At 42.0% G+C, this 15,874-nt stretch overlaps 1 protein-coding gene across 3 annotated transcripts in view; it reads left to right on the forward strand.

The window, feature by feature from the left end:
* Nucleotides 1-15,874, forward strand: part of ARFGEF2 (ARF guanine nucleotide exchange factor 2) — a 114,983-nt gene that overhangs the window by 65,132 nt on the left and 33,977 nt on the right. For all 3 annotated transcript variants that reach the window (NM_006420.3, NM_001410846.1, XM_047439832.1), the window contains 9 exons: nt 1,462-1,546; nt 1,649-1,820; nt 2,443-2,594; nt 2,714-2,842; nt 4,198-4,356; nt 7,609-7,756; nt 8,941-9,040; nt 11,351-11,391; nt 11,494-11,663. In NM_006420.3, the coding sequence (NP_006411.2) occupies nt 1,462-1,546; nt 1,649-1,820; nt 2,443-2,594; nt 2,714-2,842; nt 4,198-4,356; nt 7,609-7,756; nt 8,941-9,040; nt 11,351-11,391; nt 11,494-11,663 (1,156 nt within the window). The remainder of the gene's footprint in view (nt 1-1,461; nt 1,547-1,648; nt 1,821-2,442; nt 2,595-2,713; nt 2,843-4,197; nt 4,357-7,608; nt 7,757-8,940; nt 9,041-11,350; nt 11,392-11,493; nt 11,664-15,874) is intronic.

A 15,874-nucleotide genomic window follows, 5' to 3' on the forward strand; every position in this document is an offset into this window, starting at 1 on the left:
GTGCATGCCACTGTGCCTGGCTAATTTTTTGTATAATATTTCTGCAGAGATAGAGTTTCACCGTGTTGCCCAGTCTGGTCTTGAACTCCTAGCCTCAAGGGATCCTCCTGCCTCAGCCTCCCAAAGTGGGGGATTTACAAATGTGAGCTACCACACCTGATTGAAACATTTTAATAACTGTTTTGCCTCTCAGGTCAACTTTGTTTTCATATTAATTGCTCCCAGTCTTCCAAGTGTATGGCAGGCTGTCCCCAGGAGGTGGCAGGATTGGCAAAGGCAGCATATCATCATTTTAACCAAATGGACATTAGAACTCTCTATGAAGGCATAATTAGATGCTGTTTACTTTAAACGTATCTCCTATGTGGACCTGGGAGCCTTGGTCTGTTTTGCTCAGTCAGTAAATATGTGACCCAGTTTCATCTCATATTAAAAGACCTTTGTTGTGTTCTTCAAAATTTCTACTGTTCCTGTTATGGACAGTTTGGACAGAACAGTTTCTAGCTTCAGCCTCATATCGTATGAAGCTGTACATCCACATGTTGTCCTTCTCTTCTTGCCTAAGGCAAAAAAGTCAGACTTCACCAACATATTGTTTAGAACAACATAAATATTTTCCATGGTATTTCTACTATTAAATGTTATAATGGGTAATATAGACTATAAATAACAGCTAAACAGCAGTTTTAGTCATCTTTATATCTCATGTCTAGCACAGTACATGGCACAAAATAGATGTTCTCAGGAACAGGACAAGGTGGGGGAGGCACTCAAGCGCTTAGTGTGTGAAATATAGTGAGATGCCCTCTCTCAGGGTCAGCACCAAGTGTAAGGTCTCCTGATGTGCTCACTTGCTTCACCCTAGTCTTGGCCCCAGATGCTTCTTAGAGTCTTTTTAAAAAAAATTATTTGAAATTGCTTTATTCAAAGAAGCCTCAATTTTTATTATTTATTTATTTATTTTTGAGACAGTCTCGCTCTGTCACCCAGGCTGGAGTGCAGTGTCACAATCTCAGCTCACTGCAACCTCCACCTCCCGGGTTCAGGCAATTCTCCTGCCTCAGTCTCCCGAATAGCTGGGATTATGGGCACCCGCTGCCACGCCCAGCTAATTTTTGTATTTTTAGTAGAGATTGGGTTTCACCATGTTGGCCAGGCTGGTCTCGAACTCCTGACCTCAGGTGATCCACCCATCTCGGCCTCCCAAAGTGCTGGGATTACAGGCCTGAGCCACCACGCCCTGCCAAAGAAGCTAAAATTTGATACAGATTGTTAATGAGCTTTTTCTACACTCTGGGTTGCTAAGTCTTGTTCAGTGATGATGAAAGCGTAAAAACTCTTGCCTCATTTGGAATCAAGGGGAGTAGTCGGCTGCTTTTCTCGTGAAGTGTGTCTCTGTTAGCATTGTACCTTCCAAACCGCATCACCATGAATATTGATGTCTCGAATTTTTTTCTCCAGGCAAACTCTGTTTGCTAGTGCTGACACTGCTTATGTCCTAGCGTATTCAATTATTATGCTGACTACAGACTTGCACAGTCCTCAGGTAAAGCACTTTAATGATTTACATGTTGTATTAGCTAAATAAGTGGCTTTACTTGGGCAATTGGATGTTTTTTAAATGGTTTTTAATTTTTTTTAATTACAGGTAAAAAATAAAATGACGAAAGAGCAGTATATTAAAATGAATCGGGGTATCAATGATAGTAAAGATCTGCCAGAAGAGTATCTCTCAAGCATCTATGAAGAGATAGAAGGCAAGAAAATTGCAATGAAAGAAACAAAAGAGCTAACGATTGCAACCAAATCTACTAAGCAGAGTAAGGTCTAATGGCAAATTATTTCTTTTAGTTCTAATTTTTTAGTGTATCAGAATGCATGATTAAATACTCTGGTGATAAATTTAATGTGCATAGCTGGATATCTGAATAGGAAATGTGATTGAATTAATTATTGTGATTATGTTGGGACTTTTATAATGTCACTGTCTTGCTAGATTTCTGATGAGGAGCAAGAAGGAATTTAAAATTAGTAATCTGAGAACTAAATTACTCCCAAAAAGTGTTCTTTAAAACTTTTCTTTAATTCAGATTGTGTCCGCCTTGATTAGAATTCTATTAGTTATGGCCCCTGGGGAGCTGTCAGTTTCACTGTTTGAGAAGCAGCAAAGGGTAGTGGTTTAGAGTGTGGCTCTAGAGCCACACTGCCTTAGATCAAGTCCCAGCTCCTCTACTTAGTAATTGTATGACCCTGGGCAAGTGACTTACCCCCTCTGCCTCATTTTTCCCATCTGTAAAATGGTAATAATAATATTTGTAATGGACTCACGAGATGGTTGGGAGGATTTAGGAGTTAATCATTGTGCATCTTTTGAAACAGTGTATGGCATGTAGCCAGCCCTCAGTGACTGCTAGCCACACCTATCATGCTCTTACTTTACAGATGTAGCTAGTGAAAAGCAGCGGCGGCTGCTGTACAACTTAGAGATGGAGCAAATGGCTAAAACAGCCAAAGCTCTGATGGAGGCTGTGAGCCATGCCAAAGCCCCGTTTACCAGTGCCACTCACCTGGACCATGTCCGGCCAATGTTCAAAGTGAGTATCCTGAGAACTTAGCAAGCATGTGGCTAAGCCTGATTCTGAAGCTGGCCAGCGAGAAGTACTCTTTCCACGCTAAAACTCTGGATGTTATTGAAATCTTCCTTCCATGATAGCTGGTGTGGACGCCACTATTGGCAGCCTACAGCATCGGACTCCAGAACTGTGATGACACTGAAGTGGCCTCCTTGTGTTTGGAAGGCATCCGATGTGCAATCCGAATCGCCTGCATCTTTGGAATGCAGGTAGGTGTAAGTCAGCAACACTCCAGAGATACTGGTGGGTTGTGCTCTTTTAGATTTGGCAAAACTTAGAAATTATCAGAAATTTTCAGTTAATCAAGACTCTTAGCAAGCTACTTACTTATGCCTACTGACAAGAAATCCGTAGCTTTGTGATGACAGCTCGTTAGGGGCAAAAATGGAGATACGGATTAAAACTGTCTTTAAGAATGGGTAGGCTGGGCACAGTGGCTCACGCCTGTAATCCCAGCACTTTGGGAGGCCAAGGCAGGCAGATCACCTGAAGTTGGGAGTTCGAGACCAGCCTAACCAACATGGAGAAACCCCATCTCTACTAAAAATATAAAATTAGCCGGGTGTGGTGGTACATGCCTATAATCCCAGCTACTCGGGAGGCTGAGGCAGGAGACCGGCTTGAACCCAGGAGGTGGAGGTTGCGGTGAGCCGAGATCGCGCCATTTTACTCCAGCCTGGGTGACAAGAACGAAACTCCATCTCAAAGAAAATAATAATAATAATAATAGGTAGGGTCCAAGCTTCTTGACTGGATTTGACAAAGCAGACTTCGTGTTCATCTGCCTAACTTGCCTGCTTTGGTGCTTAAAAATACTATTTCCTTTTTAACATCAGTTTTTATTATAATTTCGCATATTTCCAACTCTTCCCTGGAGAAACAAGTAGTTCAATGCAATATGAATATGTCTGTAAACCTTTGAAACTTGAAAAGTTCAAGCAAATAAATGAAATGTAATTCTGAAACTGTTACGAAATTAGGAGGTTGACAATCCCATGCATCACTTTGTAAGTCAGAAGTTGCACCCCATTTATTTTTAAAAACTCAATCTTCTGTTCCTATTCATTTTACAGTTAGACATTTTCTTTTATACCAAGACCACAAGCTTTGACGTTAGACCATCTAGGTTTCAAGACCCCACTCTGCCACCTCTCCAACCATGTGACATTGGCTCAGCTAAAGTCTCTCTGAGACACCAATTCATTTCCTCATTTGTAAACTTGAGAAAACAGACCTGCCTGGCAGAATTGTTGCAGATGTCAATTTGTGTGACAGTCTTAGTATTCAACAGACATAGTGGAACATGGGACAGGTGAGTTTGACTGAAGTCAATTAGAAAGGAGAGAGCTGCTTCTCAAACATGTGGCAGTGCATAGATACCTCTGCAAGATGTTCCAAAAGCAAGAGGGCATTAGCATGGAATAACTGTTGTGCTAATGTGCAGAAAGCCAGTCAATGTGCATACAAAAAGTATCAGAGAAGCCCAGTGTGCCAGCCCTGCAGATGTGAGAATGGCCACACTAAGGTTGGAGTCACAGTGTTCTCTCTTGGGTTTCTGTTACAGCTGGAACGAGATGCCTATGTTCAGGCTCTTGCTCGCTTCTCCCTACTCACAGCCAGCTCCAGCATCACAGAAATGAAGCAGAAAAACATCGACACCATTAAGACGCTTATCACAGTGGCTCACACCGATGGCAACTACCTTGGGAATTCCTGGCATGAGGTACGTGTCTCTTTGAATTGCCTTTTCTCAGTTAGGATGACTCCTGGCTTCCTTTTATTCATTGTTGATCTCATTTGGTCAGTTCTGTTTTTCTTGAAGTCAAATCACTGTACCTCATGTATCTGGAAGTCACCCTCTCTGGGGCTGTGAAAGGCGGGGGCGAGTTCAGGCGCACCAGCTCACAGTGAGCACCCTTGCACCCAGCAGCCAGTGTCCCCCATGAAGTGTACTTCTGTTGTTGCAACTTTCTTTCCATATTAGTGCCATTTTTTTTTTTTTTTTTAGTCCTTATGTACCTCTTGGGAGCTTGGGAGCTCCTGTGATCAATGTGTAATTTTAAGACAAAGCCAGGAGCCTGATTAGAAATGGTTGATAGTCACAATGAGCTGTTAGGGAGAGTGCCAGTGAATTCACATGTTTTTAAAACAGTATTCTAAGATTCTCACCCAAGGATATAGTTACTTATGTGTACAACAATGTATTTAAAAGGATATTTGTTGCAGTTTTAGTTGTTCTAGGGAAAAGTTTGGGTTAAAAAGAGCTAGATGTCCCAACAATATAAGAGATTGCTACTTTTTTTAAAAAGTATGGTACAGCATTTTTTAGAATGTTATGTGGCCATTTAAAATAATGTTGTGGAAAAAAAAGACAGGCAGATAGTATGTGCTCTCTGATGGAAGTACACAATACTACCTAAGAAATGTTCTAGCCCCAACTCAAATCTGAATTGATTCAAGCCTATATTGCCAGTTTACAGGAAATACAGTGGACAGAGAAGCATGTTAGATATGAGGGTGCAGCTTGGAAATTCTAGGTGTGACAGACCTGCAGAGCAGATGACCAGGTTTTTCAGCAAAAAAATTGCAAGAAAAATAAGGGAGGAGGGTTACCTATGAATTAAAAGAGATTTCAGAAAAGAAGATAAAAGATGATTTTAAAGACTATTGTGGGAAAATGGTCACAGTAAAATTACAAGTTGTTATAAGAGATTGTGAGGCATTGTCTCTCGTGGCAAAATACACAGAGAATGCAGTTTGAAAGGATAGACCAAAGCATTAACATTCTGTCTGAGAAATAGAATTATGGAAACTGTTTTATTCTTTTTTTTCTTAATTTCTAATTTTTTCTGCCATCTACATGTATTACTTTTTTGTTTAGAGAGAAAACTGTGAAAGAATAGAGATGAGGCTGTGGAGAATGTAAAGGACAGTTTGACATAGAAAATTGCTGTCATCCTTCTTCCCCATGTGGACCACATGGCTCAGATTCAGAGTAAAGGCTCTAGAGCCTGGCAACTGGGGTCTGATTTGGGGCTCCACCTCTTCCTGCCTGGATGGCACAGGCAGGTTACTTAGTCACCGAGTCCCACCTTCTTCATCTCTACAATCTTCACAGGGTGGTTATGAAAATGAAGAGGGCTTGGGACTGTATTTGGCAAGTAATAAGAACTCAATAGTGTTACCTGCTGTCATCTCCGTGGCGTATGGCTTTGCTCCTCTTCACCAGCCTTTCCTCTCTCTGTCACAACTCTGAGTAGTCCATGTTAGAAATAACTGAGTTATGGCTGGGCACAGTGGCTCACACCTGTAATCCCAGAACTTTTGGAGGTTGAGGCAGAAGGATGGCTTGAGGCCAGGAGTTCCAGACCAGCCTGGGCAACATAGCAAGACCCCATATCTTTAAAAAAAAATTATTTTTTTAATTAGCTAGGCATGGTGGTTCATGCCTGTAGTCCCAGCTACTCAGGAGGCTGAGGCAGCAGGATTGCTTGAGCCCAGGAGTTCAAGGCTGTAGTGAGCCTTGATTGCACCACTGTGCTGCAGCCTGGGCAACAGAGCAAGACCTCATCTCTAAAATAAAAAAATATATATTTTGAATTGTGTGCTTTTTAAAATCATTTCCTGCCTTCTAAGGAGCCATAATACGTAGAGAATCAATGAATAGTTGCTTTTTCTTCTAAAACATTTTTTTAGCCTGGGAGGTATTATCAATATGAGGTTCCTGCTGCCAGCCAAGTATATGGCAGAATCTAGAAATGTTAAAAATTAATTAGCTACCTCTGCGGTTGTCAGAAGCCCTGAGAAATCAGCTTGGAACTAATAAGCCCTTGACCTTTCAGTATTGGTGACGTACTTGAGATTCCAGCTGTCCCCAGCTTCTGCAAAAGGGAGGACATTACTAGCTTACTAATAATAATTTAATAGTGTGTGAAGAAATCAGGGGATGATTCTCTTTGGTGGAATTAAGTCTATTTCTCAGTCAAGAAGAAAGCAATTTATAAGTAAAGATACTCGGCAGTGCTCAGTGGTATAGTGGAGTCCTGGACTCTGGGACTGAGTTGTAAGGTCAGCGTAAAAAGCAACACTGAAGTTCAGTCAGAAGTTCCCATGAAAATTCCTTAGGGTTTCCCTGGAGGTCTGTGTGCCATTCCTTGGTAAGTTTCATGTAGCCAGTGTTTCCTCTGACAGAAGTTGGGACCAGTTTCTGTTTCTACAGCTGAGCTTCAGGTAGGAGGGCCCGTGTGCAGATCTGCATTCTCAAGCACCAGAGGCACCCCTCAGGACCAGGAGATCCAGCCTCATCTCCCACTGCATGCCTGATGTAGAGCATATTCTCATTCCTTCAGTTAAACCAATTAACGATTGCCAACAACTTTAAGTGCCAGGGACTTAAGTGTTCAGCAGTGAACAAGACAGAGTTAATGCCCTCTTGGCACCTAAGGCAGGAAACAAACAAATAGATATATGGTATAATGCCAAAAAGTGGTAAGCACTAAGAAAAAAAAAGTATGAGCAGGACATGGTAATGGGAAGGTACGATCTCACAAGAAAGATCTCTTTGAGAGGGACACACATGTCTGAGCTGGGAATTGAAGGAGTGAGCCATGGGGAGACAACATTCCAGGCATAAGGAACAGTGAGTGCCAAGGCCCTGAGGTGGGACAAGAGATGACAAGTTAAAGGAGCAACAGTGAGGCCAATGAGGCTGGTGTCTTGTCGTCTCACGAGGAGGGTGGAAAAAGGAGGTGGGGGTGACTAAATGATGTGCCTATTAAGTGACATGGTGGGAGGAATCCGCCGCCCCAGTCAAATGCTTTTTCTCTCTTTATTGAGAGCTTACTAAATTTGCATAAACATCTATATGGCATAACTCCATTGAACCAACTTTTTTTTAATGACTAACTTAAGATTACAGTGCCCTTTTTCTAGCTGTAAGGTAGGAACTCATTTCTTCATGCCTTCTTTCTCTTAGATCTTGAAATGCATCAGCCAGCTGGAGCTCGCTCAGCTGATAGGAACCGGTGTGAAGACGCGCTACCTGTCTGGATCTGGGCGTGAAAGAGAAGGGAGCCTGAAGGGCCACACATTGGCAGGAGAAGAGTTCATGGGCCTTGGCCTCGGTAAGACACCAGGCCCCACAGCTAACAGTCACGGATTTGCAAGCTAACGGGGATGAAACCCTTCTTGTCTCATCAGGACTGTCCTGTAAACCGTCTCTTCCTTTTGTGCCATCTGACAGTGTTCATGAATGCAAGTGGACGTGCTGCTTTGGCCTCTTAATTGTGATTAAACTGTTGAGTAAAATGTCTATTTTACCAAAGTCAGTAGGGTGCATTACTTTTCTTTCTATACCTATCACTATATTGGGGAGAAAAACCATTTGCTTTAAAATGTTCAGATCTCTAGTGCCTGACATTAGAGGGGTGTGTATTTGTGTCTCTAGGTTTTAAAGGGTAGGTTCAACATTTCTTCCATCTTTATTGGGGGGCTTTTATTAAACAGTATTCTTATGCAAGTAGAATTATTTCTCTGGCTATACATTGGATTGAGAAACTCTTCTGATTGATGTAACATGGTAATAATAGTAAATAGGGCAAACAGATGTGCCAAGTCATATTCTGAGCACTCAGTTTATATATTTTAACTCATTTAATGCTCAAAACAATCCAATGAGAACAGGGACTGTTATATTCCCCATTTTGCAATTGAGAAAACTGAGGCACGGAGTGAAAAGATATGAGCAGCATCATACTGCAAAGGAGTGGCAGAGGTAGGATTCAAGCCCTAAGCCATCCAACTACGGAGTGTAGGCTTCTAGGTCCCATTTAGTGAGTGGAATAGTACAGTGTCATGGTTAAAAGTATGGACTCTGGAAAAATGGGGAATTGTAATAGCACCCACTTCTTAGGGTTCTCGTGAGGATGAGTGTAATGAAAGTCTGTGAAGCACACCAAGCATTCAGCAGGTGTGAGCCATTAATGTTCTAGGAGCTCTGGATTAATATCAATTGATTCAAATTTGTTTTCCTAAATATAGGCCTTTAATACTATAAAAATGTAAAAGATTATAGAGAAAGGTAGATGGTTGGTAGAAACAAGAAAGCTTATACTAAGGATATATTTTAAATGCCCAATGCCAAAACAAAACTTTAATTTTATCATCAGTGGGTTTTTGTTTCTTTTTTGAACTTGCAGAGTCATTCCCATTTATGTCCCCTGTCCCTGCGTGTTGACATAACAGGATGCTTTGTTCTAAATACTTGACTGTTTTTGAAGTACTGCTGATTTTGTGCATTGTGTTTCAGGTAATTTGGTGAGTGGCGGAGTGGATAAAAGACAGATGGCCAGCTTCCAAGAATCGGTTGGTGAGACCAGCTCGCAGAGTGTGGTTGTAGCTGTGGACAGGTAATGATTTTATTCTTCAGTGACCCTGAACTACACAGTGGTTTGGTGGCCTCTCTGTAGTTACTGGACATGAATGATTCCTAATTTCTTTAACTGATACAAGTGTTGTTAGCTACAAATTGCTTAAGTGTCACATTTATTTGCATTTTGACCTTTTAGAAAAGGTATAACTTTAACATTGTGACAAATTATGTCAAAAATAAGAGTTTTTCGCTTATGTTGATGTTTTAAATTACCTTGTTTCCTTAGTAGAAATTATTTTTTTAAAAATCACAAGAAGAGTTTAGGATTAAAAGCCTACCCATGCTCACGCCTGTAATCCCAGCACTTTGGGAGGTCAAGGCAGGCAGATCACTAGATCAGGAAATCGAGACCATTTTGGCTAACACAGTGAAACCCCGTTCTACTAAAAAATACAAAAAATTAGTCAGGCGTGGTGGTGGGCACCTGTAGTCCCAGCTACTCTGGAGGCTGAGGCAGGAGAATGGCGTGAACCCAGGAGGCAGAGCTTGCAGTGAGCGGAGATGGTGCCACTGCACTCTAGCCTAGGCGACAGAGTGAGACTCCATCTGCAAAAAAAAAACGCCTACCCATGCTCATGCCTGTAATCCCAGCACTTTGGGAGGCAGGTGGATCACAAGGTCAGGAAATCGAGACCATCCTGGCCAACATGGTGAAACCATGTCTCTACTAAAATACAAAAAAAAAGAAATTAACTGGGCATGGTGACGCATGCCAGTAATCCCAGCTACTCGGGAGGCTGAGGCAGGGGAATATCTTGAACCCAGGAGGCAGAGGTTGTAGTGGGCCGAGATCGCGCCATTGCACTCCAGCCTAGCAACAGAACGAGACTCCGTCTAAAAAAAAAAAAAAAAAAGCCTACCCATGAATGAGAGTTGGCTGAGTTGACAGTTTCCTTTTTTTTTTTTCTCCCCTCAAAACTTTTCCATTATTTCTCTTTACTCAAAACTTGACCTAAAAATCCAGGAGAGATATTTCCCATAAAGAAGCTTCGTACTTATTAGCAATCACTCTCCGTTTTCTTTTCTTTCCTTCCCCCATTCCTTAGTCACTGTAACCACTGATCTACAGATTTGCCTGTTCTGGACATTGTTCCATTGTCCATCTTTCCCTTTTTATTATTTTAATATTCATTATATTCTATTTATTAACCACGTAGTTTCCTTATACTAACATCTTTCCCTTTAATTCTATCCTTTTTCAACTCATGTATGTTGCCTCTATTGTTAAGTGCATATAATGTCGTGTCTTTTGTGTTCCCATCTTCTTCCACTGTTACTGCCTTCTGCCTTCTTTGTGTTAAATAGATATTTTCTAGTATATCATTTTACTTCTGGTCATTTCTTGTACTATATCTTATGTATTGATTGATTGATTGATTGATTGATTGAGACAGTCTCGCTCTATCACCCAGTCTGGAGTGCAGTGATGTGATCTTGGCTCACTGCAACCTCTGCCTCCCAGGTTCAAGTGATTCTGCTGCCTCAGCCGCCCAAGTAGCTGGGACTACAGGCATGCACCACCATGCCTGGCTAATTTTTGTATTTTTAGTAGAGACAGGGTTTCACCGTATTGGACAGGCTGGTCTCGAACTCTTGACCTCAAGTGATCCACCTGCCTTGGCCTCTCAAAGTGCTGGGATTGCAGGCATGAGCCACTGCGCCTGGGCTCCCCCGTCTTTTGATGTGTCACTTTCTCTTCTGCTCACTATAGGTTTTTCTGCTTTCAACTCAGTTCACTTTCCTTGAACCGTTCTATACTTGTAATACCACATCATTTATTTCGGTGGAGGTGTCAGACCTGATGTTTCCTCTCTACCTTGTCTGAGAGTTTGAGAAACTTCAGCTTCCAAATCTAATTAAAAAGAAAAAACCTGTGTGACCAGAGATCATCTGGCTTTTATGCCCAGTACTAAGACAGAAGCAGAATTGCCCTCAGTCTACCAAATCTAATGTTTATTTTTTGTTTTTTTGAGACAGAGTCTGTCTGTGTTGCCCAGGCTGGAGTGCAGTGGCGCAATCTCGGCTTACTGCAACTTCTGCCTCCCGAGTTCAAGCGAATCTTCTGCTTCAGCCTCCCAAGTAGCTGGGATTACAGGTGCCCGCCACCACGCCCAGCTAATTTTTTGTATTTTTTATTAGAGACAAGGTTTCACCATGTTGGCCAGGCTGGTTTTGAACTCCTGACCTCAAGTGATACACCCTCCTCGGCCTCCCAAAGTGCTGAGATTACAGGTGTGAGCCACCACACCCGGTCTAATGTTTATTTTGTCTGGAATTATCTTCCTAGGATTTTTACTGGGTCTACCAGACTGGATGGAAATGCAATAGGTATGTATTTGACTTACCTGTGAAAACTGCAGAAGCCTCACGCTGTGACCGTCTGACTGTTCCTAACGAGGCTTTGCTTGTGTTGTTGGGTCTGGCCTGTAGTTGACTTTGTCCGCTGGCTGTGTGCTGTGTCCATGGATGAACTGGCTTCCCCCCACCATCCTCGCATGTTCAGCTTGCAGAAGATTGTGGAGATATCATACTACAACATGAATCGGATCCGACTACAGTGGTCTCGAATATGGCATGTGATTGGAGATCACTTCAATAAGGTAACTCTTCAAATTTAAAAACCATTCCTGTTAAAAAAAAAAAAAAGTAGACAACTGAATTCAAAAAAAGAAGTGATAAATAATTTGCCCTGTTTTTTAGATGCCTCTAATTCATTTTCCCTGTGCAGTCAAGGACAGCTTGATAGGAGTAATATCATACTTATATATTGGTAGCATTCATGTAGAATGAATTAAAAATCCAGTGGTATTGAAAATACTTTAATATCCCACATGCAGGATGTAGGCTAAGACCACAAAGATTATTACAGCCACTAGACAAATACACTGATGCTTGGAAGCATTGTGAAATGAAATCCAGAAAGGCCTTTTAAATGACCTAATGTTAAGTTACGTTCCAGGTAGTTTTACTCTTCAATGTCACTGCTTCTTGTATTCCGGCACCTATTGCCACCATTCTTCTGAAACTTTTATTGAAAAAATTAATATTTGGGCCGGGCGTAGTGGCTCACGCCTGTAATCCCAGCACTTCGAGAGGCCAAGATGGGCAGATCACAAGGTCAGGAGTTTGAGACCAGCCTGGCCAACATAGTGAAACCCCGTCACCATTAAAAATGCAAAAAAATTAGCTGGGCGTGGTGGTGTGCACCTGTAATCCCAGCTACTAGGGAGATTGAGGCAGGAGAATTGCTTGAACCTGGGAGGTGGAGGTTGCAGTGAGTCGAGATCGCACCACTGCACCCCAGCCTGGGTAACGGAGCAAGACTTCGTCTCAGAAAAAAAAATTAATAATTGTTTTTAAATCAGTAACAAGCCAAAGACCCATCTGGGTTCTAAAACTGACAACTGTTGGGAATAAACCAGACTGAACTTCTTCCTCGTTACCAGAAGTTTTATTATATACATACAGACATATGCACACATGTTGAATAAATAAAATGTCAGATATGTGTTTTATCACGGCCAAAAAACTGGGAACAAAGCAATCAAAAGAAATGTATGTGGCCGGGCGTCATGGCTCACGCCTGTAATCCCAGCACTTTGGGAGGCTGAGGCAGGTGGATCACAGGTCAGGAGATCGAGACCGTCCTGGCTAACATGGTGAAACCCCATCTCTACTAAAAATACAAAAGTTTAGCCCGGCGTGGTGGCGAGCGCCTGTAGTCCCAGCTACTCAGGAGGCTGAGGCAGAAGAATGGCGTGAACCCGGGAGGCAGAGCTTGCAGTGAGCTGAGATCGTGCCACTGCCCTCCAGCCTGGGCGACAGAGCGAGACTCCGTCTTAAAAAAAAAAAAAAAAAAAAAAGAAATGTATGTATGTATGTATCTGTGATGTCATTTGCCTCTTAAGGGAAAGGTAATAATAACAGCTTCCTACCAAAACACATTTCATGATCTCAAGAAAATTTTCTCAAACCTGGTGGTGAAGAGTTATAATACCAATGCTTAAAAATAGTGTTAGTAAAAAAACAATCCAGAAATTCTGTACATTGAATAGAGGAAAATCTTAAAAAGTAGTCTACCATTGGGGTATAGAATAATCAATGGGGTGCTGGTAAATGATTTGTAGCATCTGCCAGTTTCTGTGTGTAAACACCCTGCCACAGCCAATTTAAAGTTAGCAATATGATGTAACTAGGGAAGAGATGGGCACCTCATTACCTCTTGTGGACAGGTGCTAGTCTACTCCACCACTCCCCTGAAATGAAGCATTGTCATATGTAGGCTTGCTTCTAACTTGGTGCATCAGCTAATGAAAGTTCCTTGTTTTTCCATCAGCTCAAATTAAGGCACCTCACAGCACACTGTCTGTTTTACAAAATAATCTGAGTGCTTCATGCTGGGCAGTGGACAGATGAGACCCCTGCCTGCATGGAGCTCCCTGTCATTTTATGATAAGATAACTGATGGGAAAGGATCAAGCATGTCATATATCAGGGTTATTGAGAAAACATGGTCAGGGAAGGTCCCTCTTTGGAGGTGGCCTTGAGAGGCACAGGAGCCTGTGGATGATCCAGGGGAACTATTTGTTGAGTGGATGGTATCACTTTAAATAATCAACTAACTCAGCACCATCTTACCCACTATTCTGAGTAAACAAATTCCTAATTGGACCAATTGAAATAATTGATGTGAATTTGCTTGAGAAAGAAAATGTGAATCATTGCGACTACTGTACCTTGTATTCTTGTCCAAACATGTGACAGCTAAGCCAGAACAAACGCTGCTCATTTATTCCACAAGATCATTTGGCTAGCAACTGTGGAATCCTTTGTTCTCTCAGAAATGACTAGCTAAAAGTGTTTTGGTAAACGTTTTCCCAACTCTTTAAAGTCTGCATTTTGTGTTCATTGGGACTTCTGTTTTGGGAGGGGAACATCAGTTTGCTCAAGTTACTCTTCCCACCTGTGATTCTGTTGTGAAGAATCTGTGTGTGCCAATTCTCAGTATGTATGGACCACTTACAGGCAAGGTTGGGACATAGGGTGGCAGGTGGGAACCAGACATTTAATTGTCATCAACTTCATTACAAATGTCTGTTTATTTAATCAGTGCTGTTTAAGCACCAGGTCATGGAAAACTCAGGAACTCTTTTTTTTTTTTTTTTTTTTTTTTTGAGACAGAGTTTCGCACTGTTGCCAGGCTGGACGGCAGTAGCTTGATCTCCTCTCATTGCAACCTCTGCCTTCCAGGTTCAAGCTATTCTCCTGGGACTACACACATGCATCACCACACCTAGCTAATTTTTGTATTTTCAGTAAAGACAGGGTTTCACCATGTTGGCCAGGCTGGTCTGGAACTCCTGACCTCGGGTGATCTGCTCGCCTCAGCCTCCGAAAGTGTTGCGATTACAGGCATGAACCACCGTGCCCGGCCCTCACTCTGGGACTCTTAACTTTTTCCACCACCTTGGAAAGATGTTCTTCCCATTGTGAACTGGGGCACTTAAGAATCTTGCAGATTTGAAGAAATAGATATGGCTCAATCCAGCTGTAACTTAGCCCTCAGGTTGCTGGCAGAGTTGTTCGCACAGTCACATGATTCTCTTGAACTAGGGGCACCAGCCCTGTGTCCTGGATGAGCAAAGCTTCACACTAAGCATGGTGTGTATGCCTGGAGCATCTGTTTTACCTGGATATTTAAGAAAGGAATATTCTTTTTGTTAGTCTCTAATTACATTAACATACTCCCCTTTACACAAAAATTACAGCTAAAACATCTTTGGCCACCCTCCCCCACACATCTGGCCCTCCCCAAAGCTAATTATTCTTACTAGTTTGTTGTATATCTTTCCAGACATTTTTGTATTCATGTGCATATGTATGTACTCATAGAAATATTACAGATAATATTGTCTTGGTTTGTTTCGCTTTTTAAAAAAATTATACATAGCATTTTGTAACTTGTTTCTTCCACTTAGCAAGGAATCATAAAGATTTAACCATGTTAGCATATGTAGATTTGTTCTCTTTTAAGAAATTGTAATAAAATACACATAACAGGCCGGGCACAGTAGCTCACTCCTGAATCCCAGCAGTTTGGGAAGCTGAGGCAGGCAGATCATCTGAGGTCAGGAGTTCGAGACTAACCTGGCCAACAAATACAAAATTAGCCAAATACAAAAATTAGCAGGGCGCGGTAGTGGACGCCTGTAATCCCAGCTACACGGGAGGCTGAGGCAGGAGACTATCTCGAACCCGGGGGGTGGAGGTTGCAGTGAGCAGAGATCGTGCCATTGCACACCAGTCTGGGTGACGAGCAAAGCTCTGTCTCAAAAATAAAATAAATAAAATAAGATTAAAAAAATAGAATAACCATCTTAACAATTTTAAGTGTGCGGTTCAGTAGTGTTAGGTACACTCACATTGTTGGGCAACAGATCTCAAGGACCCTTTTCATCTTGCAAAACTAAAACTGCATACCCATTAAACAGTAACTCCCACTTTCACCCTCCTGACCACAGGCAACCACCATTCTACTCTGTGCCCCTAGGAACTTGACTACTATGGGTACCTCATATAAGTAGAATCATGCTGTGTTTGTCCTTTTGTGACTGCCTTATTTCATTCAGCATAGTAATGTCTTCAAGGTTCATCTGTGTTGTAGCGTGTATCAGAATTTCCATCCTTTTCAAGGCTGACTTTATTATTTATTTATTTATTTTTGAGATAGCATTTTGCTCTTATTGCCCAGGCTGGAGTGAAGTGGCAAAATGTCGGCTCACTGCAACCTCTGCCTGCCAGGTTCAAGCAA

The sequence above is a fragment of the Homo sapiens genome, chromosome 20 (assembly GCF_000001405.40).
Source record: "Homo sapiens chromosome 20, GRCh38.p14 Primary Assembly".
Lineage (NCBI taxonomy): Eukaryota > Metazoa > Chordata > Mammalia > Primates > Hominidae > Homo > Homo sapiens.